The sequence below is a fragment of the Homo sapiens genome, chromosome 22 (assembly GCF_000001405.40).
Source record: "Homo sapiens chromosome 22, GRCh38.p14 Primary Assembly".
NCBI lineage: Eukaryota > Metazoa > Chordata > Mammalia > Primates > Hominidae > Homo > Homo sapiens.
Window position 1 is genome coordinate 50,571,730 of NC_000022.11, and position 23,552 is coordinate 50,595,281.

The following is a 23,552-nucleotide window of genomic DNA, read 5'->3' on the forward strand; positions in this document are numbered from 1 at the left end:
AAGAGGGAAGTGCTGAAAATGCTCCAGGGGCCTGTGAGTGCCTCCTCCATCTCATGGCTGTCTCTAAACACAGATGGCCCCAGGGGCGGTGGGTGGTCTCTGTCCTCCCTGAAGCCAGTTTGGACTCTACAGGTATCCTGAGACGTGCCCTGTGCCTTCCCGAGGGCTGGGCCAGGCAGTGAGGCCAGCAGGGGAGGAGGAGGCTCAGGCCTCGTCGGGGCTGTACCCACCTGCTGCTTTGTGGTCTCACACCTGCTCTGGGAGCTTCCAACCCACCTGTTTTGGAATGTCCCACTGCAGCCGTGTAGGAGGTGCGAGCGCAGGGTTCGGTTTGCCCAGGCAGTGCCCGGTCTCCGTGTAGCCCAGGTGGAAGCTGTCTGTGCCCAGGACAAACTGCAGGGAGAGGATGAGACTGAGAGGCTGGCCTCATCCCCTACAGCCTGCCCTGCAGGTTCCCTCTGCAAGGCTATTACCTCCCAGAGGTGCCCAATGATGGGAGCATCTGCCCACGCATGCTCTGCATTGAGACCCAACTGGCCATTCTTGAAGGAAATGAGAGTGAAGGATTTGTCAAACCACCTGCAGGAAGAGTAGACACATGAAGAACCAAAGCTGGGAATGTCCAGAGGTGCCTGACCTGCAACCCCAACCTTTAACCCTAATTACTAACCCTATTCTCTCTCTCTTTTTCTCTCACTTTTTTTTTAAATTGAGATGGAATCTTGCTCTGTTGCCCAGGCTGGAGTGCAGTGGTGTGATCTTAGCTTCCCATAACCTCCCGGGTTCAAGGGCTTCTCCTGCGTCAGCCTTCCGACTAGCTGGGATTACAGGTGCCTGCCACCATGCCCGGCTTTTAACCCTATTCTATAACCCAAACCCTAGCTTTTAACCCTAGCCACTAGCCCTACCCAACCACTAATCACAATCCTAACTACTTTTATGAAGGGGTCTCGCTCCGTTGCCCAGGCTGGTCTTGAGCTCCTGCACTCAAGTGATCCACCTGCCTTGGCCCCCAAAGTGCTAGGATCACAGGTGTGTGCCACTGCACCCAGCTCATAACCCTACCTTCTTTTATCTTTAATCCTCTAACCATAACCCTAACTTTTAACCTTAAGCTGTAACCTGTGGGGCTGGGGCTGCCGTACCTGTTGTAGCAGTTGCCATGTAGCAGGGCCTTGCCATAGAGGCTGAGGCTGGCCTCATCTTCGGGGTCATAGGAGTAGGATTCCTCATCCAGGGCCACGAAGAAAGCGGCACGCTCGATGGCCTCCAAGGCAGCCTTATTCTTTCCAGAGCTAAAGAAGGCCTGGCGTGCCTGCGCCCACTCCACCCTGAAGCATGGGGCAGGGTAAGCAGTGGGCACGTGGACTTGGGATGAGGGTGCCTCTGAGGGCCTGGCTGGACCTGGAGATGGGGGTGGGGTGCCAGGCTGGACCTGGAGATGGGGGGTACCACGCTGGACCTGGAGATGTGGGGGTGCCAGGCTGGGCCTGGAGGTGTTGGGGTGCGTGCCAGGCTGCGCCTGGAGGTGGGGGTGTGTGTGCCAGGCTGGGCCTGGAGGTGGGGGGTGCCAAGCTATTTTGGAGGGTGTCCCCACCCTCTGCACACTTCACCTGGCTGCCACCCGTCAGAGGTAGGTTATGCTGGCTGTCCTGCTGCCATGACCACCAATGCCCCTCCCCTAGTTGTGCCTCCAGCCTCCAGTTCCAGGGTGGCAGGCAGGGCCACGCTCCTCTCCTCACGGAGCCCTGAACTCAGGGTGGGGACAGTCCCTTCCTAGAGGCCAATACCTTCCTCCTGCAGTGAGGGCTGCCAGCTTCTCCTCCCCAGGCTGAGGTGGGGAGGGGTCGTCCAGGATCCTCTGGAACTGCATCTCCAGATCCTGAGGCTTGAGCAGACGGGCGCCCTCATAGAGCCACAGCTTGAAGAAGCGTCCCTTGTGGTAGACAGCCACGTGCCGGCTGTCTGAGAGGTGCTGTAGCACATCTGTGATACAGGCCACGGGCAAGCTGAGGCGGGGCCCCCAGCTACATCCTGGGAAGGGCCCACCTCCCATGCACTAGGTGACCCCTGCAGACCCTGTTTTGCTCGGCCTCTGCCTGGGCCTTCCTGCCCCCTGGATGGGATCCGTGTGTCCTAAACCAGGCCCTGTGCTGGGTGCTTCCACTCTCTCTCACGCAACACCAACAATCCTATAAAGTATTTCACAGAAGAGGAAACGACGCACTAGAGGGTTGTGCAAACCGCCTAAGGATACAGTGTCAGAAGCAGGGAAGGCTGCTGCCTCTGCCAGACCCCTGGGTGCGCCCCTCCCCTCCTCTGCCGGCTCCATGGCAGCGCCGGGTCTGTCCTAAGCTTTGGGCTGCAGCAGGACTCCCTTCACCATGCGCAGTGAGCCCCGGAGGGGAGGGGCTCTGCTCTGGGCCCTGTGGGGTCCCTGCGCCAGCATCATGCCTGTAAACAATGGATGTCTAGTATCTGTCACAATTGACTACTGTTCACAGTTTCAGGACCCTGAGACACTGGGGACGCTTGGTGATGAGCAGGCAGGAGGGCAGCGAGCCAGCCAGATGGCCCACAGGTAGCAGCGAGGGGGCTCAGTTACCTGTGTCCTTGCCCGGGATCCGAGTGGTGTTGAACATCCTCTCCATCTGGTAGGAGCACATAGGCACTATGCCCAGTGCCATCACCTGAGGGAAGGCCCAGCATGGCTCAGACTCAGGTCTCCCCTCCCATCCCACCTTCAACCCTGACGCAACTCACAGGCTTGATTTCTTCACGGTCCAGTTTACGGCGATACATGATCATGGCGTGGATGATGTTTCCCAGGCGGGCTGCCTGCACGTCTGTATTCTTGATGAGCACAAGGTCCTACAGAGGAACAGAGCCCGCGGGGTGGGGGCCTCTGTCTGGGTGTCACCTGAGTCTTGCTGACCCAAGGACCAATCTATTCGGGGGCCTGAGGTGTTCTGTCTCCCTCTTCCAGTACATCCTGCACATGCTGCCGGGGTGAACCTCCAGAAATGCACAACTGATCGCAGTAACCCTCTGCTCCAGCTTCAGCCTGAGCTGCTTTATTCTTTATTTTTTAGAGTTAGGGTCTTGCTCTGTCGCCCAGGCTGGAGTGCAGCGGAACAAGCATGGCTCACTGCAGCCTCAAATTACTCGCCCTAAGTGATCCTCCTGCTGCAGCCTCCTGAGTTGCAGGGATTAGAGTCATGCACCACCACGCCTGGCTCTGAGCTTCCTTTTTATTTGTTTATTTATTTTTATTTTTAAATTTTTATTTATTTATTTTTCTGAGATAGAGTCTCGCTCTTGTCACCCAGGCTGGAGTGCAGTGGTGCGATCTCGGCTCATTTCAAGCTCCACCTCCCGGGTTCACGCCATTTGCCTGCCTCAGCCTCCCGAGTAGCTGGGACTACAGACGCCCACCACCACGCCCGGCTAATTTTTTGTATTTTTGGTAGAGACGGGGTTTCACCGTGTTAGGATGCTCTCGATCTCCTGACCTTGTGATCCACCTGCCTCGGCCTCCCAAAGTGCTGGGATTACAGGCGTGAGCCACTGCACCCGGCCCGAGCTGCCTTTTTATAAGCTATTTTATGTGCTTATATTCTACTTCTTTTGCTTTGATAAAGGGGTTCTACCACTAAAAAGCAGTTTAAAACCTCTGCTATGGGCAAGTTGTGTGTAAGTTCCTGGAAGGACAGCTTATGGAGGAGAATTCCAGTAGGCTCTGGCAAGTCAAGTGTGCTTTGGACCGTGGGAAAGGAGAGAAGAGGCATGCCATACAGCCCAGGTGGCTGGGAGACCCAGAGACTCAGAAGGGCCAGTTACATGGGGCAGAGGCAGACTGACTTCCTGAGCTCTAAAAGCAGCAGCCTGGCCTCCATTCTGCTGTCCGGCTCTGCAGAGGGACACAAAGCAAGACACGTTCTAGACAATTCCCTGGTTATGGTGTCAGGACAGCTGGGAACCCATGGCCAGGAGGCCAGTGAGGAAACCAAGGAAAGAGGTGACAGAGCCCGAGCTGGGCAGGGGCAGTGACCCCGGGACTCTGAGAAGCGGTGGCAGGCTGGCGGTCTCCACTCTCCTCATCCTTAGGATCCCCATTGCCCCTAAGCTGCTTCTGGACTCTTCTAGGATCTCCTCTCTCTCTTCCCTTTCCCTCAGGCCTCACTCCATAACCCCCACTTGCCCACGGAAGCTGCTACTAGAGCTCTGGGCTGTCCTCCAGATCCCTTGCCTTGGAGCTGGGACAGAGCTGAGCACGTGCGGGGACCTGGGGGCTCTAGTTCATACCATGACATAATAGTTGCTGTTCACCATGAGAGGGCTCCTGCCTCGAAGGTAGATGTACTCTTCCCACCAGTCACTCACCTGTGGGGAGGTGGAAGGTTAGAGCTGGGGCGGGTGCAGCCAGGACACATGGCAGGTGACAGTGAGCCCAGGGGCAGGAACTTACATAGTTACTTGCCCACCATGACTTGAGCACCAGGTATTTCTGCAGCCTGGGGGCAGTCTTGTCCTGGAATTCTTTGGCCAGCAACTCCATGCGGTAATATTCCTCATCATCCAACAAGGGGCGCACAGACTCTAGGTACTGTCCAGCCAGTTATCATCACCGTGGGGCCAGATGGCAAGGGCTGCCTCTATCTTAATCCTCTTCCCACCTCTCCCTCCTCACCCAGCCCCATTATTCTCAAGCCCTTAAGGCCACTCTTTGCACAGAACCTTATATTTGGAAACATCTCCTGAATCCAACCTCCCCTGCCCACTGGGATGCCCAAGCGAGGCCCTCACCCGCTGAATTGTGGCTGACACCCTGGGCACAGGAAGCTTGGGCAGAGATGTCTGGAAGCTGTAGAGCATAGGGTGCCGGCTGGATAGAAGGCGGATACACATCTGGGGGTACAGAGCAGAGTGCTGGGGTGGGAGCCAGTGGAAAAAATGGAAACCAACCAGCAACTCCCTGAGACCCTCAGAGCCATCCCAGCCCCTCCAGGACAAACCACACACCAGGCACCAGTGCCCTGTCTGCCTCTCCCGTCTAGCTCAGAACCCCAAAGGAGTCCAAAGAGTCTCAACCCAGGTGCCTGAACCCCTCCACTGGCTGCTGCTCACAGCCCAGATCCTGGTCAAGTTGCTGGTCTTGCCATGCATCTCAAACATCCACCCATGGTAGCAGAGAAGCAGCTTCAGGGTTTGGCGGAAGAAGAAGATGCCCGTCACCCAGACGCCCGTGGAGAAGATGGCCATGCTGAGAAGTGCCCGGGTCTGCGGGGTCTGGTAGGGGCCACACCTATTGGAGAGGGGCAAGGGCTGCAGGGGGTCCTCTTGAGGCCAGCCTCGGGTGGCTGTGAACTGTCTCAGGGGAGACACCAAGGGGAAGAACCTCCCTGGGCACACTCATGTCTGACTGCATCAAATGAGCGGATGTAGGGCTAAGACAATGGTTGTCATAGGGGAGGGCTGCCCCGTGACTGCCAATGGCTGCTGTCCTGTATCTGCCCAGCTCAGGAACCTCAGCCTTGGGAGCTGGGCCCAGCCCTCCCTGGTGGCACCTGTGCCCTTCCAGTTTCACTCCTTACCCCTGAGGGAGGCATCTCTGGATGCAACTGACCAGCCCCAAGGAGATGTCCACGTTGCAGAAGGAGGAACCCACTGTTGCCATGATGACGACCAGCCAGCTGGTGGGGCTGCCAGGGTACACGCCCCTGAGGATGCCATTCTGTGGGCAGAAACAGGCGCCCTTATGGAGCCGGAAGGCGGGAGGTTAGCCTGCCTGTGAAGTCTTGGGAACTGGCTCCTGGTCTTGGCCTGGAAGGCTTTCTCTCCTGATGCCCTGCTGTGCTCCTTCCTCCGCCACACCCACAGCTCCCTGTGTCCGACCACATCCTGTGCACCCCTCTGGTGTCTGTACTTCCACAACCTGTACCGGGCAGAAGTGCCAGCCAAGGAGGCAGTGAGGGACCCTAACAAAGCGCTTAACAGCTGACAGCCGGCCTCTGCCTACGCTCTGGGAGAAGCACCTGTGCGCACCTTGATGCGGATCAGGCGTTTCTTCCAGGAGTTGATCCCAGACAGGTAGACGTGTTTCAGGGCCTCCCGACTGAGCCGGAAGTCGACCCCGTCTGGGGTCACCGTGAACTGGAAGGCCACGGCCTGGTGAGCTTCCGCCATCCTGGGGGTTGGTCGGCACCTAGGACGGGGGCAGATGGGTGCGCGGGCGCGCTTAGGCCGGCCCCGCCGCCAGCCGCGCCGAGACGCCCCCAGCCAGTCCGCGACCCCTCGCGCCCCCCACCCCGCGACTAGCGGCTGCCCCCGGCCCGCGCCCCCCGCCAGGCCAACCGCCGCCAAATCCTCGCGCCAGCCTTCCGGGTGGGCACAGCCACTGTGGTGCAGGGGATTTGGGCCTTGAAAGCTCCAGGAGCCCCAAGGACGGCGAAGGGCAGCCTGGAGTTGGGGGGCGTCAGCGAGGGCGCGGGCAGGGGAGAGAGGCGCCCCTGGAAGTGGAGCCGGCCTGGACAGAGGCAGGGTTCGGGAGCCCGCCCTTCCCCACCCGAGCGCGCGGGCCCCAGCGCCGTCCTCGCCCCTGTGCAGGGCTGAGGGCCCAGACCCCCGCGGGCCGCCCTGTGCCGGCCCCTACTCACAGCTCGGGTTCACTCCTGTCCGTGCGTGGGGCCAGCCACTCTGGCCCGTGTCCCCACGTCCTTCAGGCCTAGCCACCCCCGCCCCGCCCTCACCAGGAACCTGACACCTACTCCCAAATCGGGGTCGGGGAAAAACGTGGGGCGAGAACCAGAACCCACCCACCTTCCGCGGTGGGAATTGCAGGGCGCGGCTGGGTTTCTGTGCGGTGAAGGTTGCTCAAAGGTCTGGGAGCCTGGGGGGCCCCAGAGTCTCGTGAGGATGGTGGCTTTAGAGCTAAAAATAGCCAAATGTAGGGAAAAGGTCACCGATGTGTCAGCTGCTGCCTGTTCTGGGATCGCTGGTGCTCCGGGCGGCATCCCCACCTCAGGGTCGTCTTCATACCCCCATCACTCTCCTCCTCCCCAAGTCCTAGTATTTATTATTCTAAGCTGCAGCCAGGGGACTGGGGAGGGATGGGGGACCCCAACTGGCAGCATGAACGCTAACCACTTTCAATCCCAGAGCACTGAAGAGTCCCTTTGTGTGTACTGCTCGGTTTGGTACTTTCTGCTGCTGCTCAGCAGGGCCAGGACAGGGTGGGAAGAAGAAGCTTGTTTATTGTGTTACATACACAGCACGGGGCTCTGGCCTGCCAGCCATGGGGACCTACTCAAACTCAGGAACAGGCCGGTCTCCTGAACCTCAGTTTCACTTGGGGGCTCAGCCCAGTCGCCAGGGCCTTCTGCTCGTTGTTCCTCCCTCCAAGGTCCTGCCCTGGAGGCTCCAGGAGAAATCCAAGGAGTGGGAGGGTGGAGTCAGGATGAGGAGTGGACACTGGTCAGCTGCCCCTTCTGCTGGAAGTAGAACTGGAACCGAGACTGGGCATAGTCCTAGGGAAGGAAACCCACCCCACACAGTGGTGAGAAGACGTGGGACCAGCATTCTACATCCACCTCAGGCTGCCCACAGCCACCCGGGACTCCCCAGGCCTCCTGGAAGAGTGTGGCTGCTGCTGCTCCCCAGCCCCCCAGCTAGCATTCCCATCCCCAGGGTCACTTACCAAGTAACCAAATTCTATGGTGGACATGGATGCCTGGAGGATGGACCACAGACCCCAGAAGAAATGGGATGCCAGAGCATACCTGGGGGGAGGGCAGGAAAAGGAGGGGCATTCAAGAGCATGTCTAGCACTGCTTGGATCCCCTCACCCAGGTTGGCCAATCCCTACAGTTTTAACTTCTCCCCCACTGTCCTAACTCCACTCTCCACAGCCACCTTCCCTGCAGCTTGATAAATCTGCCTCTTCCCCAATCCCTCTTTCCTCTGCTCTGCCCTACCCCACCCTGCCCCTCCTTCCTCACCGACTGACTTCTACCAGCAAATCTTCTTCCAGTTTTCTCTGCTCCTCTTGGGAGAGGGTCTCACCTTTCTTTGCCTCTGCCAGGTAATGACGAATAAAATGCAACTACGATCAATGGCCAAGAGTCAGGAATTGGGGAGACTGTGGAGTATTTCCCAGGTAACATCCTTTCCGGCCATTCCTTCCAGACTCCACCTCCCTCCTTCCTCACAGGATGGGTCCTGCTCCCCAGCCTCTGGCCCACATACCTGCTGTTCTTGAGTGGGGTAGTCTGTGGGCCTTGCTTTGTAGAAAGGCCATTCCTCGTGAGTATAATCATAAACCCACTCACAAAAATGGTTCCCAATGTCAAAGCCCCTGGGAGAATAAGGTGGACATTCAGTCCCCAAATGCCCTGGGCAGCTGGCCTGTTTTCAAGAGCCCTATGGGAACAGATCTATGGGAAGCCATCTTTCCAGCCTCACCTATAGTTATAACTGCTGTACTCGAAGTCCACCAGCATGAGGCTGTCAGCATTTTCTGGCTCTGAGAGCAGCAAGATGTTCCCTGGGGGAATGGGGTGAGGTTCTGCTCACTCCAGAGCCCTCTGGCTCTTCCATCTTGGGTTAGGAGACTCAGATGCCTTCTCCTACCTTCCTGGATGTCATTGTGGCAGAAGACGACTGGCGATGGGGTAGACTCTAGTAACTTCCTACAGGGGTATGGGAGCATGGGTCCTGAGCAGGAGTGACTAGAGGAGGATCAGAGCCACCCTAACAGGCCAGGCCCTGACACCAGCCCTCAGCAACTACTGGAAGGGCGGACACCATTACCATTAGCCTTGTCCTGCCTGCCCTCACCTGAGGTTGCCCATCTCATCCTTCAGGCTGTACATCTCCAGCAGGTTCATCTCAGGGAGGCCAGTTGGGGGCAGGTCCTGGATCTGTTTTAGGTACCTGAAGCCCAAAGAATAGGATACACTGGCTCTGCTATTCTTTCCCACCCCTCGCCTATCTACCCCTCAGGCCAGACTACTGCACCCCTGCTCCTATCACTGTGTGACTTGTCCGGCAATCATTTCTTTTTTTCTTTTGAAATGGAGTCTTGCTCTGTCACCCAGGCTGGAGTGCAGTGGCGCGATCTTGGCTCACTGCAACCTCTGCCTCCCGGGTTCAAGCAATTCTCCTGCCTCAGCCTCCCGAGTAGCTGGGACTACAGGTGCATGCTGCCATGCCTGGCTAATTTTTTTGTATTTTAATAGAGACAGGGTTTCACTGTGTTGTCCAGGCTGGTTTTGAACTCCTGAGCTCAGGCAATCTGCTCACCTCAGCCTCCCGAAGTGCTAGGATTACAGGCATGAGCCACCGTGCCTGGCCTTGGCAATCATTTCTTTTTTCTTTTTTTGTTTGGTGTTTTGAGACAGAGTCTTGCTCTCACCCAGGCTGAAGTGCAATGGCATGAGCTCAGCTCACTGCAACCTCCGCCTCCTGGGCTCAAGTGATCCTCCCACCTCACCCACCTCGGCTCCCAAAGTTCTGGGATTACAGGCATGAGGCACTGCATGTGGCCTCTGGCAAGCATTTAAAAGCCTGTTCTGTGACAGCCCATGACATCAGATCCACTCAAGTGGAGGGCTGGATAGAGCCCCCGACACATCCGCTGGCATGGAGGTTCAGCTCAGGAGTACAGGAGCCCTGAGGAGGCTCCTGACTCACCGCTCCATGGTCCCAAACAGCCAGTGGGGCTCCTTGGTGAAAGGCATCTCCATGCCATGAAATTGCGCCATCTTCGTGGCAATGGCTGCTGACAACACTGGCTCTCGAAGCTCTTGAGTTTTCAATGGCCGACTCTGCACCCAGGAAGCTATCAGGGTGGTGATGGGGCTGGGGCAGGAGTGGGAAGGGCTGGGGCAATGAGGGGAAGTCAGGGTTTTGGGGGAAATTCCCTACTTGGGGTGAGGGATGTGGAGGCAGACATTGGGCACTGGGGTAGGGTTAGGGGGTGGAGGTGCCTTGGGGAGGAGAGGGTAGGACTGGGCCCGTACTGGGATGTACTGTTCCAGCCGGCCCTCTGGGAAGACTCCGTACAGCTGGGGCCCCAGCGACCGCTCCGCAAGTATGGCGAACATCACGCTTTCTAGCACCAGGGAGTCCACGCCCTGAAAAAGGATGGACAGCAAAGGGGCCAAGGCAAAGTGGCACAGGGACACACATGAGGGCTCGCCTTCCTCCCACCAGAGCTGCGACTTCTGATCCAATTGCCTGGAGGCTCTGGAGCACAGGCTTTAGCGTTGGTCTATTTTTATTTAGAGATGGGGGTCTCACTATGTTGTCCAGGCTGGTCTCGAACTCCTGTGCTCAAGTGATCCTCTCGCCTCAGCCTCCCAAAGCTCTGGGAATACAGGCCCAGGCTTCGGTGTAATGAGGTGTTACTCAGACCGTGAACCTCGGTGTCCTCAACTGCGCAACGGGAACAATACTACCCGCATCGCGTAAGCGACAGGCCCTAAAGCCACTGGTGCTGCGGCGCTCACACCCCCCTCACCTGCAAGATGGCTCCGTACAGCCGCAGAAGCACCTCCCGGGGCTCCTCGCCAACGCTGGGCAGGTGGTCCGGGAGCGAGCAGCGGAAGAGCAGGTTGCTGAGGCCTCCGCTGCAGACCCACACCAGGCGCGCTCAGCCCGCGGCCGGCCCTACCTGCCGCGGCCCCGGCCCCCTCCCGGCCAGGCCGGCCCCGCCCCGCCCCAGGCGCGGGCGCAAGAGGGGGGCGAAAACATGGAGCATCCTGAGGGCCCCGCGGCTGACCCCTGACCCCGATCCGCGCACCGGAGAGGCTGACCCCTGACCTCCCACCTCACGGGGTAAACCCTCAGCTCCTCGGGCTGCACTCGGCGCCAGGCCCCGCCCAAGTACTCCCGGCACCATTGGTAGGCTCGGCGCTCGGCGTCACGCGACAGCGACGAGGCGCGCCGCCGTTTTGGGGTAGTGTCCGGGCACTTAGACTGCTGCAAGCCGTCTTTGGCCAGGCAGCCGCCAACAGCCCCGCTTCCGGCCACAGCTGTCGCCTCGGCCGCCATGGCGCGGGCTCGACCGGGCCCCAGGCCAGGCTGCGCTCCGCTCCCTTCGGACGGGCTCGGTTCCTTCCGGCCGCGCTCGGCTCCTCTTCCGGCCGGCCTGGGCTTCTCCGGTCATACTCGGGTCTCTCCGGCTCTATTCGGCTCACGGCTGCGGCGCTCGGCTCTCTCCGTGCCCCGGCCCGGGGGCTCTTTCCGAAGGCCGAATTCCGCAGATCTCTGCCGGGCCCCGCCCCTATGGGCAAGGACCAATGGTCTCTCTCTGGGCGGGGCTGCTGTTGGACGGCCTGGGCCAATCCGAGGCGCCGGAGGCCAATCAGTTGGCGGAGCGGCGCGTGCGCGGGCGAGGAACTGCCCGGGCGCGGTAGCGTACGGGAAGACCGGAGAGGAGCTGCGTCTCTGCCCCGTGGGAGCCGGCGGGGCGGCGGGGCGGCGGCTGCAGCTGCAGCTCCGGCGCGAGGGCTCCCTTGCCGGGCCCTCTTCCCCGACCCCTGGGGCGCTCCGACAAGGAAGAGCCGTCCAGCGCGCGTCCGTCCTGAGCGTGGGTGAGGCCTGGAGGAGGCGCGCGCGCTAGGCAGGGCCGCACAGCGCGGGCAGAGTGCGGGATGCGGGCACCCGGTGGGTACGCAGTAAACATTTGCTGAAGGAATGTGACCCTTGGGACAGTTCCGATGACTCCAGTTGCATAAATGCCCAGTCTACACGGGGACTCCCTGGCCGGTAGAGCCGCACCTCTGAATGAGGAGTCTTTTGCTGCCCCGCTTGAGATGCGCGTCTTCATTCATTCCCCTCTCCCCCTATCCTCCTCGTCTCCTCCAGGCCTAGAACCAATTACAGAGTCAAACCCAAGAGCCGAAGAAAGTGAAGACTCGCAGCTTGCCGCAGCCCCCTCCTCGGCCTGCGCACCTCCCATTGAGGGCGTCCTGATTTAAACGCGTGCCTCCTGCATTTCTGCTTCTGCCCCAGGCTAGAGCGGCGACCAGGAACGCTGGACCCACAGAGATCTGTGGCAATGTCTGTCGAACCATGGTGTTCTTTGGGGCATCTGACTAGAGTATTGTTTGATAACCAGAAAGAAATCAAAAATTGGTGATCACAAGGCTAATGTCACTTTTGCTGCAGTGGAAAATCATGATCATTCTGTTTAAATCTGAGTCAGTTTTGAGACCTAGAGCCCATTAATTGACAAGGAGGCTTGGTTCCTCTCAGGAAGGATCTTACAATACCAGCATCTGAGCATATACCAAGAAATATTCCTCCAATCCTTCCCTAAAGGGACCTAGAGCCACTTTAAAAAGTAACTGGTCCGGGCGTGGTGGCTCACGCCTGTACTCCCAGCATTTTGGGAGGCCGAGGCGGGCAGATCACTTGAGGTCAGGAGTTTGAGACCACCCTGGCCAACATAGCGAAACCCCGTCGCTACTAAAAATACAAAAATTAGCCGGGTTTGGTGGCTTGTGCCTGTAATCCCAGCTACACGGGAGGCTGAGGCGTGACAATCCCTTGAACCCAGGCCTTGTTGCCGCGAGCCACTGCACTCCAGCCTGAGCGACAGAGTCAGACTCAGTCTCAAAAAAAAAAAAAAAAAAAAGAAAACTGATTCTGGCTGGGGGCAGTGGGTCACGCTTTTAATCCCTGCACTTTGGGAAGCCGAAGTAGGAGGATCGTTTGAGCCCAGGAGTTTGAGACCAGCCTGGGCAACATAGCAAGAACCTGTCTTTACAAAAATTAAAAGATTAGCTGGGCGTGGTGGCAGGTGCCTGTGGTTCCAGCTACTCTGGATGCTGAGGTGAGAGAATCACTTAAGCCCAGGAGGTCAAGGCTGCAGTGACCTGTGTTCACGCCACTGCACTCCAGCCTGAGCAACACAGCAAGACTGTCTGAACAGCAACAACAAACACACCAAAAAAACTAGTTTACTTCGGAAAAGGGACTGTCTAGGTCTTTGAAGGGCTGATACAGGATCTGAGCTGACACTGTTTCCAGGAGCCCTGAAGCATCATGGCCCTCTCATTAGGGTGCAGGCTTATGGAAATCAGATGATAAGCAGAATTCCCAACCCGAGTCCTGTGGTTACTTCTCTGGTCTCAATGCATACTTGGGATGTTTTTACCTAGCAGAGGGCGGAGCGTATACATTGATCCCAGGCCTTTGGTACCATATGTAAGGAAGCGCAAAGTAGAAACCTTTGAAACTCCTCACCCTACTGAAACCTTTCCAAGATAGTAAGTCAGAAACAATGCTGCATTCCAGGTGTAATTGCAGAGGTATTTCGCCCTCAAAGACTTATAAAGCAGTGGTTACCGTTTCATCCCTTCAATTAACCTGAATGGCTCCTGCTAAATCTTGGTGGATTCAAGTAAATGATGATGCCCTGCACAAACTTAGCCAAGTCGTGTCCCCGATCACACAGCTGTGCTAGGTGTGGTATCTTTACTGGAACCGATAAATGCACCTCTGGCTCTTGATAATGCAATTATTGACTTGGTGAACATTCTTTTCAATTGCCAGTGGTAAAGAGGATTAAAAGCAGTTCACATTTATATGGGAAGGACAGCTCTGTAAATGGTCTTGCTTCTTGCTGTCTGAACTCTCCTGTTCTCTGTCACAATAGTCCTTAGGTAGCTTATCATCTATATTCCATATAACATTGATGATGTCATACTAGTTGGACATGGTGAAGAAGGCCGTGCATGTCAGAGGATGAGCGAGAAGCCCTCAGAAGTTCTGGAGCCTGCCATATCAGTGACATTCTCAGGGGTGCAGCGTTTGAGGGCAAGCCAGGGACAAGTTATTGCATCCTGCATCCTTACAAGGAAGAAAGAGGCACAGCATTGAGGCACCTCTGTGTTTTGGAGTCAGCATGCACCGCGCTAGAGGATACCTCTCTGACCCCTTTATTGGGTAACGGGAAAACTGCCAGCTTTGAGTGGGGCCCAGAGAAAAAGAGGGCTCTGCTAAAGATTTGGATTGGGAGATGGGCTTCCCTGCTGCATAGATCCAATGGGTTACCGGGGGGCTTATTTGGGGTAGGAAGGACCCTATATGGCATCTCTGGCAAACTCCAACGGAAGAGTTGCAGTACACTGTCCTAGAGTTCTTGGACAAGACCATGCCTTCTGCAGCAGAGAACTACTCGCCAAGTGAGAGCAGTATCAGGCACACTACCAGACCCAGGTAGAGACCGAGCACCTGCTGGTGGGACATCAGCGACCATGCGACAGGGTCTGCCCAAGCGAGGTGTTGTCAGATCCTCCAAGTCAGTAGGTCAGAGGCTCAGTAGCAATTGATGGTACAATGAAAAAGGAAGCCTTGGGCTTGGACCCAAGCGTGTCTAGTGGGTAACAGTTATTTACAGGAAGAGGTGGCAGTGTGGCCCCACATCTGCTTTGCACTGATATTTCTCCCTTAGCAGATAAGCATTCTGGTCTGGTTCGTATATAGGTCAGTTTGATGTGTTGATATGAACTGAAAATGAACCATAGGTACACTACAGTCCCATTCAAGGTGACCCTAAAGGACGACAATAGGAAATCCTCCATGGGGCTGAGCTTCCAGCAGTTCGTGTGGATATCCACTTTGTATGGAGGCAGTGGACAGAGTAGTGGCCTGAGGGAGGGACGCATATGGACTTCTGGGTTGTGACGTCCTGCTGGCTGGTCAGGGACCTGAAAAGAGCAAGAGGGGAAGATGGACCTACAGGAGTGGCCACACAATATGTGCATCTCTCTGCCTTGTGTTAATACTGCAGAGGAGTTGGTGAACAGCAGGATGGATGGGATGTCAGTCAGCTGTGCCCCTGGCTACCCCTGTGCTTGAACAGTGGACTGTGAGTGGCGGCGTCATGCAGAAGGAGCACAGGTTAGCGTCCACCAGCACAGGCCTTCTTTCTCAAGGCTTGTCTCATGATTACTCCTGCTGAAAGCGATCAGTGCTGAGCCCCTGCTGAGATACCATCCCTAGAGCACCCCAACTAGTTACTTAGTGGCAAGTTGGTGACAGCCCTTCATCCTTGCTGGAGTTGACACCTGCTCTGGATAAGGGTTTGTCTTCTGTATCCACAGGGTCCCAGGCCAGCATCACTATCCAGGAGCTTCAGGCATGCTCCGTGTACCAACATGGGATCACGAATCACATCGCCTCAGGCCAAGAAAGCCATTTTATAGCGAAAGAGGTATGGTAGTGTGTGGATGACCATGGGATCCACTGCTTCTCTAATATCCTGCGTTACGTAAAAGCAGCTAGGCTACTGGAAAGATGGGATGACTTCTTAAGGGCTTAGCTGAGGTCCTGGTTCTAGGACAGTATCCTGAGGAGTTGGGATATATACACTGAATCAGAGTCTAATATATGGTGCTCTGCCCCCAGTAGATACTTCATGTGGATCCAAGCAGAAAGACACAGGTCCAGGAACCCAAGGGTTGGGATTAGCTACTTCTCACCATCATTCCCAGTGCTTACACGTAGAATTTGTACATTCTGTCTCCACAGCCTTAGGATCTGCTGGATTAGAGCCTGTTTCCCAGGTAGGAACGCTTCCACGAGGGCACTCCTGCTGGTTGCAGGAAGGATACCTCTGCTGAGCCTGAATCTGCAAAGACCACCAGGTTACTCTCAGCTCCTCATACTGGTGGACCAGCAGGCCACAAAGGAGGGGATACTTGATCCTGATAAACGGTGAGGAGGTAGCGTGGCTGCTGCGTAACGGGGCAAGCAGGCATTGATCTGGCACTTAGAGGATTCATCTAGGTCTGTCTTGGTGCTTCCATGCCAAGTAATGACAATGAAAAGGTCTTTTCAGCAGCCATAGCCCCTAAGGGCTCAGATGCCTCAGGGTGAAGGTCTGGGCAGCGTCACCAGGCAAGCCATGGAGACAAGCTGGAATGCTGGTGAGGGTGAGGCCAAGGAGGAGGTGGCTGCTGAATATCTGTTACTTGGGAGAAGCTGTGGCAGTGGGGATTGTATTTGTTCTGCTAAGCCTCTTGTATTAAGGCTTTCATAGGAGTTGTAACTAGCCTTTACTTTGAAGAATCGTGACAGAGTAGACTCAATATTGTAGCTGACTAGATCTGAGAGGGGCAGGAGATGGTGTCTTGGCTGATGCCCTCAGCCCACCTTTAACTGCAGTGGACACAGAGCTGCATCTCTGCTGTGTGTCTTTGCACTTCCTGCTCCAGGCCTTCTCTGACACCATGGCGGCCCCCTGAGCCTGTGCCGAGATTGTGCCACTGCACTCCAGCCTGAGCAACAGAGCTAAACTCCATCTCAAAAAAAAAAAAAAAAAAAAAAAAAAAAGGCGAGGGGAATACATACAGGAATGGACTGTGAGGATACAAAGCCAAGAATGAATTGTAGGTTAGTGCAAATTTATCAACATGAGTGCACTTCAAAGAGAATCTTTGATTCCGTATTTTGGCTCAAGGCCTGGGAGTAGTTATGACCGTGCCTGGGTGGCTGAATGAAGCCTGGACTCCTTGGTGGTTTACATTGATGGGAAGATGAGAATGTGGAGTGGATTTGTGATGTATGTGACATGACCTGGCTGCCACTCTCCTCTCTCTATCCCTTCATTAGACCATTGTGTAATTTAAAAAAATAGGTTATAAATTTCTTTTCAAGATAGTAAAGGGGTACGATCAACAACCCATGGAACGGGAGAAAGTATTTGCAAATCATGTATCTGATAAGGAGTTAATATCCAAAATGTATAAGGAACTTACAAAACTCAATAGCAAAACACCAAATAACCCAATTTAAAATGTGTAAAGGACCTGAATAGACATTTCTCCAAAGAAGACATGCAAATGACCAACAGGTATATGAAAGGGGCCCAACATCACTAATCAGGGAGATGCAAACACCACAACGAGATATGACAACAACGCGATCCACCTCACACCTCTTAGTTTGGCTACTATATAAAAAAAAAAAACAAAGGCAAGAGATAACAAATATTGGCGAGGATGTGGAGAAAAGAGAACCCTTGTATACTGTTGGTGAAAAGGTAGATTGGTACAACCATTATGGAATACAGTAAAAAATTAAAACAGAACTACCATGCAATCCAGCAATCCCACTTCTGGATGTATATCCAGAGGAAATGAAATCAATATCTTGGAGGATATCAGTACCAGCTTATTCATTGCAGCATTATTCACAATAGCCAAGTTAGGAAGCAACCTGAGTGTGCGTCGGCAGGTGAATGGATAAAGGCCAGGTGTAGGTGCTGGCTAGGGATTCTAAAATTATGGGAAAACTGGAAAATTGATATTAGGGCACCATCTGCCCCTTTGGCCATGCCCTCTCTACTTCCTGTATACAAAACTCACTCACCTTATCCTTAAGGGAGACCACTGTAAAAGTTCTAACTAGTTGCAGCATCCAGCTCAAAATTTAGGTTCTCTGACTTATATGCAATTTGCTCCTTCAGGTCCAGAGGTAGATCCTTGTGGTCCAGTGACTTATAAAAGGTTTGTCATTCATCCTCCAACAAACTCAGTGTACACTAGTTTAATCCAATGTCGTATAAACTAAAACATATTTTATGTGTCCCAAACATACAAAGAAAGATTAAGGGCCGGGCGCAGTGGCTCATGCCTATAATCCCTGCACTTTGGGAGGCTGAGGTGGGCGGATCACCTGAGGTTGGGAGTTAGACACCAGCCTGGCCCACATGGAGAAACCTCGTCTCTACTAAAAATACAAAATTAGCCAGCGTGGTGGCGCATGCCTGTAATCCCAGCTACTCGGGAGGCTGAGGCAGGAGAATCGCTTGAACCCAGCGGGCGGAGGTTTCAGTGAGCTGAGATCGCGCCATTGCACTCCAGCCTGGGCAAAAAGAGTGAAACTCCGTCTCAAACAAAACAAAACAAAACAAAAGAGTAAGAATTGGGTAAATACTACAAAGACCCCATATTTAGACCCGATCTCTAGTCTGTGGCACTTGCCAAATCCTATTGAGCATAAATAGTGAAGTCCCCTTTCCTGGCAGCGCCGGCTCAGTTTTCTGGAATGTTTCTCCTTGTCTGTTAGACTTCGTGTCCACATCTAGGAGGACACTGGAGAGGAACCTTCTTGGAGGCTGCGTAGTTTCTTCTATGGGATCAAATGCCTCCTGGCTTTTGTAGGGATTACTTTAGGAGCTGAATTGTCAGAGGGTTTGACAAACTAGATTGTAGTTTCTTTGGTGATACGATTTCTCCACATTTTCAGTAGTGACATTCTAGCTTCATAACATGAGTTGGGAAGGTTTCTGCCTCCTGTTTCCTGAAATGTTTATGTAGGATTAGTATTATTTCTTCCTTAAATGTTTGCTAGAATTCACCAGTAAGGCAATCTGGATCTGGAGTTTTCTTTGTGGAAAGGTTTTTAATTGGTAATTCAATGTCTTTAGTAATTATGAGGCCATTCAGATTTTTCTTTTTCTTTTTGTTCCAGCTTTGGTAATTTGTGTCTTTCAAGAAATTTGTTCATTTAATTTACATTTTCAAGTTTATTGGCATAAAGTTGTTCATAGTTTTATAATTCTTTTAATATCTGCTGAATCTATAATGATATTTTTGCTTTCATTCCTGATAAGGTTATTTATGTCTTCTTTTTTCTTGGTTAGTCTAGCTAGAGGTTTATCAATCTTACTGAGTTTTTTAAAGAACCAGCTTTTGGTTTCATTGATTACCCTCAACTGTGTATATATTTTTTATTCCATTGATTCTGATCTTTCCTTCTAATTCACTTTTCCCTTTCTTTCTTTTCTTTCTTTTCCTTCTTTCTTTCTTTCTTTCTTTTCCTTCTTTCTTTCTTTCTTTCTTTTCCTTCTTTCTTTCTTTCTTTCTTTCTTTCTTTCTTTCTTTCTTTCTTTCTTTTCCTTCTTTCTTTCTTTCTTTGTCCCTCCCTCTTCCTCTTCCTCTTCCTCTCTCTCTTTTTCTTTCTTTTCTTTCTTTCTGACAGAGTCTCACTCTGTTGCCCAGGCTGGAGTCCAGTGACACTATCACAGCTTACTGCAGCCTTGACCTCCTGGGCTCAAGCGATCCTTCAGCCTCCTGAGTAGCTGGGACTACAGGTGTGTGCCACCACCTGGCTAGCGTGTGTGTTTGTGTGTGTGTGTGTAGATGGGGTCCCACTGTGTTGCCCTGGCTGGTCTCGAACTCTTGGGCTCATGCTATCCTCCCACCCTGGCTTCCCTGCTGGGATTACAGGCATGAGCCACCACACCTGGCTCCTTTATTTTTCTTTCTTTCCAGTCTATTACTTTTAGCCTATCTTGGTGTTTATATTTAACATTTCATTTCTTGAGGTAGCTTATAGTTTGTGTCTCACTTTTTAAATACATTCTGATAATCTCTGCCTTTCAATCTGAGTTTAGATCATTTCTATTTAATGTAATCATTGATATTATTGGGTTTAAATCTACCATCTTGCTATTTATTTGTCCCATCTTACCTTTGTTCCATTTCCACTTCTTTTCTGCTTTCTGATGGATTGATCAAGTATGTTTTCGTATTCTGTTTTATTACCACTCTTAGCTTATTAATTGTGTCTTGTTGTAGTTTTTAAAATGTTTTCTCTAGGATTTATAATATACATTTTTAACTTGTCATAGTCTACCCTCACATGATGTTATGGCATCTACATATAATGTAAGAGCCTCCTTACAGCAGTATGTTTTCATTTCTCCTCCCATCCTCTGTATTGGTGTTGTTATGTTTTACATCTGCATATGTCTTAAGGCTGGGCATGGTGGCTCATGCCTATAATCCCAGCACTTTGGGAAGCCAAGGCTGAAGAATTCTTGAGCCCAGGCATTCAAGACCAGCCTAGGCAAATAGTGAGACCCTGTCTCTACAAAAAAATAAAAAATTAGCCAGAAACGGTGGTATGCACCTGTAGTCCCAGGTGCTTGGGAGGTGAGAGAATCACGTGAGCATGGGAGGTTGAGGCTACAGTGAGCCGTGATCATGCCGCTGCACTCCAGCCTGTGCAACACAGTGAGACCCTGTCTCTAAAGAAAAGAAAAAGAAAGAAAATGTGTGCAAAACCCACAAAACTATAAAGAATAGTCAAGCAGTTTGAAAAGAACCAAATGGAAGTTCTAAAAGGAAAGTTTTAATTTAGTTCAAATTTTAGTTGAATTTTAATTTCAACTAAATTAAAAACTTAGTATGCATGTTTAACAGAAGATTATAAATAACCAAAGCGAGACTTCATGAGCTAAAAGATAAATATGAATACAGTATACAGAATGCTGCCTGGAAAGACATAGATTTGGAAAACCTGGAAAAAGGGTTAAGAGACATAAAGGCTAGAATAGGAAAATCCAACATGAGCCTAATTAGAGTGCCAGAAGGAGAAGAGATGGAATGGAGCAGAGGAAATATTTGAAGAGATAATGGCTATGAAATTTCTAAACTAATGAAAGTCACATAATTGAGAAATTCATATAAATTTATATAATTGAGAACCTCATGCAGAAAAAAATACAAAATAAACCCACACCTAGATAGACCACATTGAAACTTCAGAACACCAAAGACAAAAGCGTCCTAAATGCAGCTGGAGATGCATGGAAAATGACCTTCAAGGGAGTGACTGAGAGATGATGTTTTCTAGCGACAAGGAAAGCCAGAGGAGGACAATGGACGAGACCTTCGAGGTGATAATGGAAACTAATGACCCAGAATTCTGTATCCTGTAAAAATATCTTTCAGGAACCAGGACAAAATGAAGACATTTTCGGACAAACTGAGTTTACTACGGAAGATTCTCATTAAAGAAACATTTAAAAGGTGTAAGGAATTGGTATCACAGGGTGATCTGACAAGGAAGAAGGAATGAAGGATATAGAAAGAGGTAACATTTGGGTAAATCTAGTAAACATCAATGGCTTAAAGCAACAATAACAATTCCTATGGGTCTTGAAAAGAAAAATAATAGCCAGGCACAGTGGCTCACACCTATAATCCCAGTGCTTTGGGAGGCTGAGGCAGGAGGATTGCTTGAGCCCGGGAGGTCGAGGCTGCAGTGAGCCAAGATCATGCCACTGCACTCCAGCCTGCGTGACAGTGAGACTCTGTCTAAAAAACCAGAAAAAAAAAAAAGGAAAAATAAAGAATATTAAAATGCATAATAATAAAATTTAAGTTGGGACTGGAGTAAACAGAGTTAAATACTTCTCGGGTCCTTGTATTGTTCAGGAAAAGGGTAAAACTATTGATTAACTTTACGATTTGATAATTTAAGTGTGAGTGTCACAATTAGCAGGATGCCTTAGATTGGATTCCTTCAGAAGAAGTAGCTAAAACGAGGATTCACATGCAAGGAGTTTGTTTGAAGCTGCAGGAAATAAGGTGGGTGGGTGAGAAAGTGAGGCAGGGGAGGGAAGAAGTGCCATCCTGCCAGCTGCCCGGTCTCTTATCCTGCGGCCCGTGTAGCAAGATTGTACTTAGAACTTAGCTATTAGATCCAGAGGATGAAGACAGCTTTTGAGGCTGCACATGGTGGCTCACGCCTGTAATCCCAGCACATTGGGAGGCCGAAGCGGGTGGATCACTTGAGCCCAGGAGTTGGAGACCAGCCTGGAAAACATGGTGAAACCTTGTCTCTACAAAAAAAAAAAAAAAAAAAAAAAAAACCAAAAATTAGCCAGGCATGGTGGCGGGTGCCTGTAGTCCTAGCTACTTGGGAGACTGAGGTGAGAGGTTTGCTTGAGCTTAGGAGGCGGAGGTTGCAGTGAGCCAAGATCACATCCCTGCACTTCAGCCTGGGTGACAGAGTGAGACCCTATCTCAAAAAAAAAAAAAAAAAAAAAAAAGACAGTTTTTGTTAATCAAATTAGGTAATTATGCTGGGAGTTCCAAGATGACAAGTTTGTGGGTGTAAGAGGCCTGATAGCCGGCCGGGCGCGGTGGCTCACTCCTGTAATCCCAGCACTTTGGGAGGCCGAGGTGGGCGGATCACAAGGTCAGGAGATCGAGACCATCCTGGCTAACACGGTGAAACCCCATCTCTACTAAAAAATACAAAAAATTAGCCAGGCGCGGTGGCGGGCGCCTGTAGTCCCAGCTACTTGGAAGGACGAGGCAGGAGAATGGTGTGAACCCGGGAGGCGGAGCTTGCAGTGAGCCGAGATCGCGCCACTGCACTCCGGTCTGGGCAACAGAGCGAGACTCCGTCCCCCCGCCAAAAAAGGCTTGGTAAATCTCTGTTCAGGGTCTCCAGCAACCTATCAGGGAGTCTCCCTGTCAGGCAGAGCCCTGTCATCACCAACTTTAGTGCATCTTTGGGAGGAACTGGGGAAATCTGGGAAGCGCTCACCAGACATTCTGCAGCTTGATAGCTCCTGGCATGCTTTGCTGGGCCTGTTCCCTTTGTGCTCATCGCAGTAAATGGAAAACTCTCCAAAATTTGTATGTCAGAGAGAGATTTGTCGAGGCTGCAGTGCTGTCCTCCTTGGGGCTATGACTCTGCTGCAGTGCAAAGACTTTCATGAAAGTGTATAATCCTGTTGTTTTTTCAGTTATTATAAAAGTGTCTTTGGGCATGTACGTTCTATGAAGGAGTCTAGTGAGACATTCAGATTTCAGAGATTTAAAAAATTTCCTGGCAAGGCGTGGTGGCTCATGCTTGTAATCTCAGCACTCTGGGAGGCCGAGGCAGGCGGATCACTTGAGTTCAGGAGTTCGAGACCAGCCTGGCCAACATGGTGAGACCCCATCTCTACTAAAATACAAAAATGAGTTGGGTGTGGTGGTACACACCTGTAGTCCCAGCTACTTGGAAGGCTGAAGCAGGGAGAATGGCTTAAGCCTGGGAGGTGGTTGTTGCAGTGAACTATGATTGCACCACTGCACTCCAGCCTGGACGACAGAGCAAAATCGTGTCTCAAAAAAAAAAAAAAAATTCCTGATAGTAGCAATCTATTTAAAAACTTCAACTGATGCATGTTATAATCATCTTCTGCACTGATAGAAATCTGTTTTCTGAAAGGTATAATTATGTGTGAGATTTCTTTCTTAAACCAGAAGGATTTTTTTTTTTTTTTGAGACAGAGTCTTGCTCTGTCGCCCAGGCTGGAGTGCAGTGGCGTGATCTCGGCTCACTGCAAGCTCCGCCTCCCAGATTCATGCCATTCTCCTGCCTCAGCCTCCCGAGTAGCTGGGACTACAGGCGCCTGCCGCCACGCCTGGCTAATTTTTTGTATTTTTAGTAGAGATGGGGTTTCACCGTGTTAGCCATTGTGCTTGATCTCCTGACCTTGTGATCCGCCTGCCTCGGCCTCCCAAAGTGCTGGGATTACAGGGGTGAGCCACCGTGCCCGGCCTACTGTCACTTTCATTAAGGCATAACAATGTTGTAAATGCCATGATTTTGGATGTCCTGTACCATCAGGTGAGAATTACCATTTTCTTTAACATAGGTTATGCTTGTTTGCTGATGGAAATGATCCAGAAGAGAAGGACAAGTTGACGATTGAGAGGGTTAATGTCAGGTAAGAAACTTGAGTGGAC

General features: G+C 52.2%; 2 protein-coding genes and 2 long non-coding RNA genes across 10 annotated transcripts in view, besides 7 other annotated features; 1 reads left to right on the forward strand and 3 right to left on the reverse strand.

The window, feature by feature from the left end:
* CPT1B (carnitine palmitoyltransferase 1B) overlaps positions 1 to 6,883 on the reverse strand; it is a 9,752-nt gene extending 2,869 nt beyond the window's left edge. For 2 of the 6 annotated variants that reach the window (NM_001145135.2, NM_152245.3), the window contains exons 1-13: positions 6,820 to 6,883; positions 6,046 to 6,205; positions 5,595 to 5,734; positions 5,128 to 5,305; positions 4,807 to 4,908; positions 4,469 to 4,606; positions 4,306 to 4,383; positions 2,764 to 2,871; positions 2,606 to 2,690; positions 1,791 to 1,986; positions 1,146 to 1,331; positions 474 to 579; positions 277 to 393 (exon numbers count right to left, since the gene is read on the reverse strand). In NM_001145135.2, coding sequence (NP_001138607.1) covers positions 277 to 393; positions 474 to 579; positions 1,146 to 1,331; positions 1,791 to 1,986; positions 2,606 to 2,690; positions 2,764 to 2,871; positions 4,306 to 4,383; positions 4,469 to 4,606; positions 4,807 to 4,908; positions 5,128 to 5,305; positions 5,595 to 5,734; positions 6,046 to 6,186 — 1,575 coding nt within the window. In that variant the 5' untranslated portion in view covers positions 6,187 to 6,205; positions 6,820 to 6,883. Of the gene's footprint in view, positions 1 to 276; positions 394 to 473; positions 580 to 1,145; positions 1,332 to 1,790; positions 1,987 to 2,605; positions 2,691 to 2,763; positions 2,872 to 4,305; positions 4,384 to 4,468; positions 4,607 to 4,806; positions 4,909 to 5,127; positions 5,306 to 5,594; positions 5,735 to 6,045; positions 6,289 to 6,656; positions 6,699 to 6,819 lie in introns of those variants that run through there. The other 4 variants (NM_152246.3, NM_004377.4, NM_001145134.2 and 1 more) reach the window with 3 other exon arrangements.
* Positions 1 to 11,270, reverse strand: part of CHKB-CPT1B (CHKB-CPT1B readthrough (NMD candidate)) — a 14,139-nt gene extending 2,869 nt beyond the window's left edge. The window contains exons 1-23 of the long non-coding RNA NR_027928.2: positions 10,829 to 11,270; positions 10,520 to 10,628; positions 10,020 to 10,133; positions 9,691 to 9,824; positions 8,836 to 8,931; positions 8,629 to 8,687; positions 8,461 to 8,542; positions 8,245 to 8,353; positions 7,998 to 8,101; positions 7,697 to 7,778; positions 7,307 to 7,526; positions 6,046 to 6,205; positions 5,595 to 5,734; positions 5,128 to 5,305; positions 4,807 to 4,908; positions 4,469 to 4,606; positions 4,306 to 4,383; positions 2,764 to 2,871; positions 2,606 to 2,690; positions 1,791 to 1,986; positions 1,146 to 1,331; positions 474 to 579; positions 277 to 393 (exon numbers count right to left, since the gene is read on the reverse strand). This is a non-coding gene — a long non-coding RNA (CHKB-CPT1B readthrough (NMD candidate)). The remainder of the gene's footprint in view (positions 1 to 276; positions 394 to 473; positions 580 to 1,145; positions 1,332 to 1,790; positions 1,987 to 2,605; positions 2,691 to 2,763; positions 2,872 to 4,305; positions 4,384 to 4,468; positions 4,607 to 4,806; positions 4,909 to 5,127; positions 5,306 to 5,594; positions 5,735 to 6,045; positions 6,206 to 7,306; positions 7,527 to 7,696; positions 7,779 to 7,997; positions 8,102 to 8,244; positions 8,354 to 8,460; positions 8,543 to 8,628; positions 8,688 to 8,835; positions 8,932 to 9,690; positions 9,825 to 10,019; positions 10,134 to 10,519; positions 10,629 to 10,828) is intronic.
* Positions 4,411 to 4,705: an enhancer, noted in NCBI's record as "tiled region #1531; HepG2 Activating DNase unmatched - State 12:CtcfO". NCBI's record gives its function as "activates a minimal TATA promoter and a strong SV40 promoter by Sharpr-MPRA in HepG2 cells {active_cell/tissue: HepG2}" and the evidence as "EXISTENCE:reporter gene assay evidence [ECO:0000049][PMID:27701403]".
* Positions 4,411 to 4,705: a silencer, noted in NCBI's record as "tiled region #1531; K562 Repressive DNase unmatched - State 12:CtcfO". NCBI's record gives its function as "represses a minimal TATA promoter and a strong SV40 promoter by Sharpr-MPRA in K562 cells {active_cell/tissue: K562}" and the evidence as "EXISTENCE:reporter gene assay evidence [ECO:0000049][PMID:27701403]".
* Positions 6,190 to 6,269: a silencer, noted in NCBI's record as "silent region_13998". NCBI's record gives its function as "represses an Ori minimal core promoter by ATAC-STARR-seq in GM12878 lymphoblastoid cells {active_cell/tissue: GM12878}" and the evidence as "EXISTENCE:reporter gene assay evidence [ECO:0000049][PMID:35858748]".
* Positions 6,610 to 6,729: a silencer, noted in NCBI's record as "silent region_13999". NCBI's record gives its function as "represses an Ori minimal core promoter by ATAC-STARR-seq in GM12878 lymphoblastoid cells {active_cell/tissue: GM12878}" and the evidence as "EXISTENCE:reporter gene assay evidence [ECO:0000049][PMID:35858748]".
* On the reverse strand, positions 7,234 to 11,120 carry CHKB (choline kinase beta). Its single transcript, NM_005198.5, has 11 exons — positions 10,829 to 11,120; positions 10,520 to 10,628; positions 10,020 to 10,133; positions 9,691 to 9,824; positions 8,836 to 8,931; positions 8,629 to 8,687; positions 8,461 to 8,542; positions 8,245 to 8,353; positions 7,998 to 8,101; positions 7,697 to 7,778; positions 7,234 to 7,526 (listed from the first exon to the last, which is right to left on the reverse strand). Exons 1-11 carry the CDS (start codon positions 11,050 to 11,052, stop codon positions 7,452 to 7,454), a joined length of 1,188 nt encoding a protein of 395 aa, NP_005189.2. The 5' UTR covers positions 11,053 to 11,120; the 3' UTR covers positions 7,234 to 7,451.
* Positions 10,617 to 10,816: a silencer, noted in NCBI's record as "silent region_14000". NCBI's record gives its function as "represses an Ori minimal core promoter by ATAC-STARR-seq in GM12878 lymphoblastoid cells {active_cell/tissue: GM12878}" and the evidence as "EXISTENCE:reporter gene assay evidence [ECO:0000049][PMID:35858748]".
* Positions 11,147 to 11,236: a silencer, noted in NCBI's record as "silent region_14001". NCBI's record gives its function as "represses an Ori minimal core promoter by ATAC-STARR-seq in GM12878 lymphoblastoid cells {active_cell/tissue: GM12878}" and the evidence as "EXISTENCE:reporter gene assay evidence [ECO:0000049][PMID:35858748]".
* Positions 11,267 to 11,666: a silencer, noted in NCBI's record as "silent region_14002". NCBI's record gives its function as "represses an Ori minimal core promoter by ATAC-STARR-seq in GM12878 lymphoblastoid cells {active_cell/tissue: GM12878}" and the evidence as "EXISTENCE:reporter gene assay evidence [ECO:0000049][PMID:35858748]".
* Positions 11,297 to 23,552, forward strand: CHKB-DT (CHKB divergent transcript). Of its 2 annotated transcripts, NR_110536.1 has the most exons (4): positions 11,297 to 11,594; positions 15,114 to 15,223; positions 15,541 to 15,726; positions 23,462 to 23,552. It is a non-coding gene; the product is annotated as a CHKB divergent transcript (long non-coding RNA). The 2 variants fall into 2 exon arrangements; NR_021492.2 differs by lacking the exons at positions 15,114 to 15,223; positions 15,541 to 15,726; positions 23,462 to 23,552 and adding an exon at positions 11,869 to 12,202.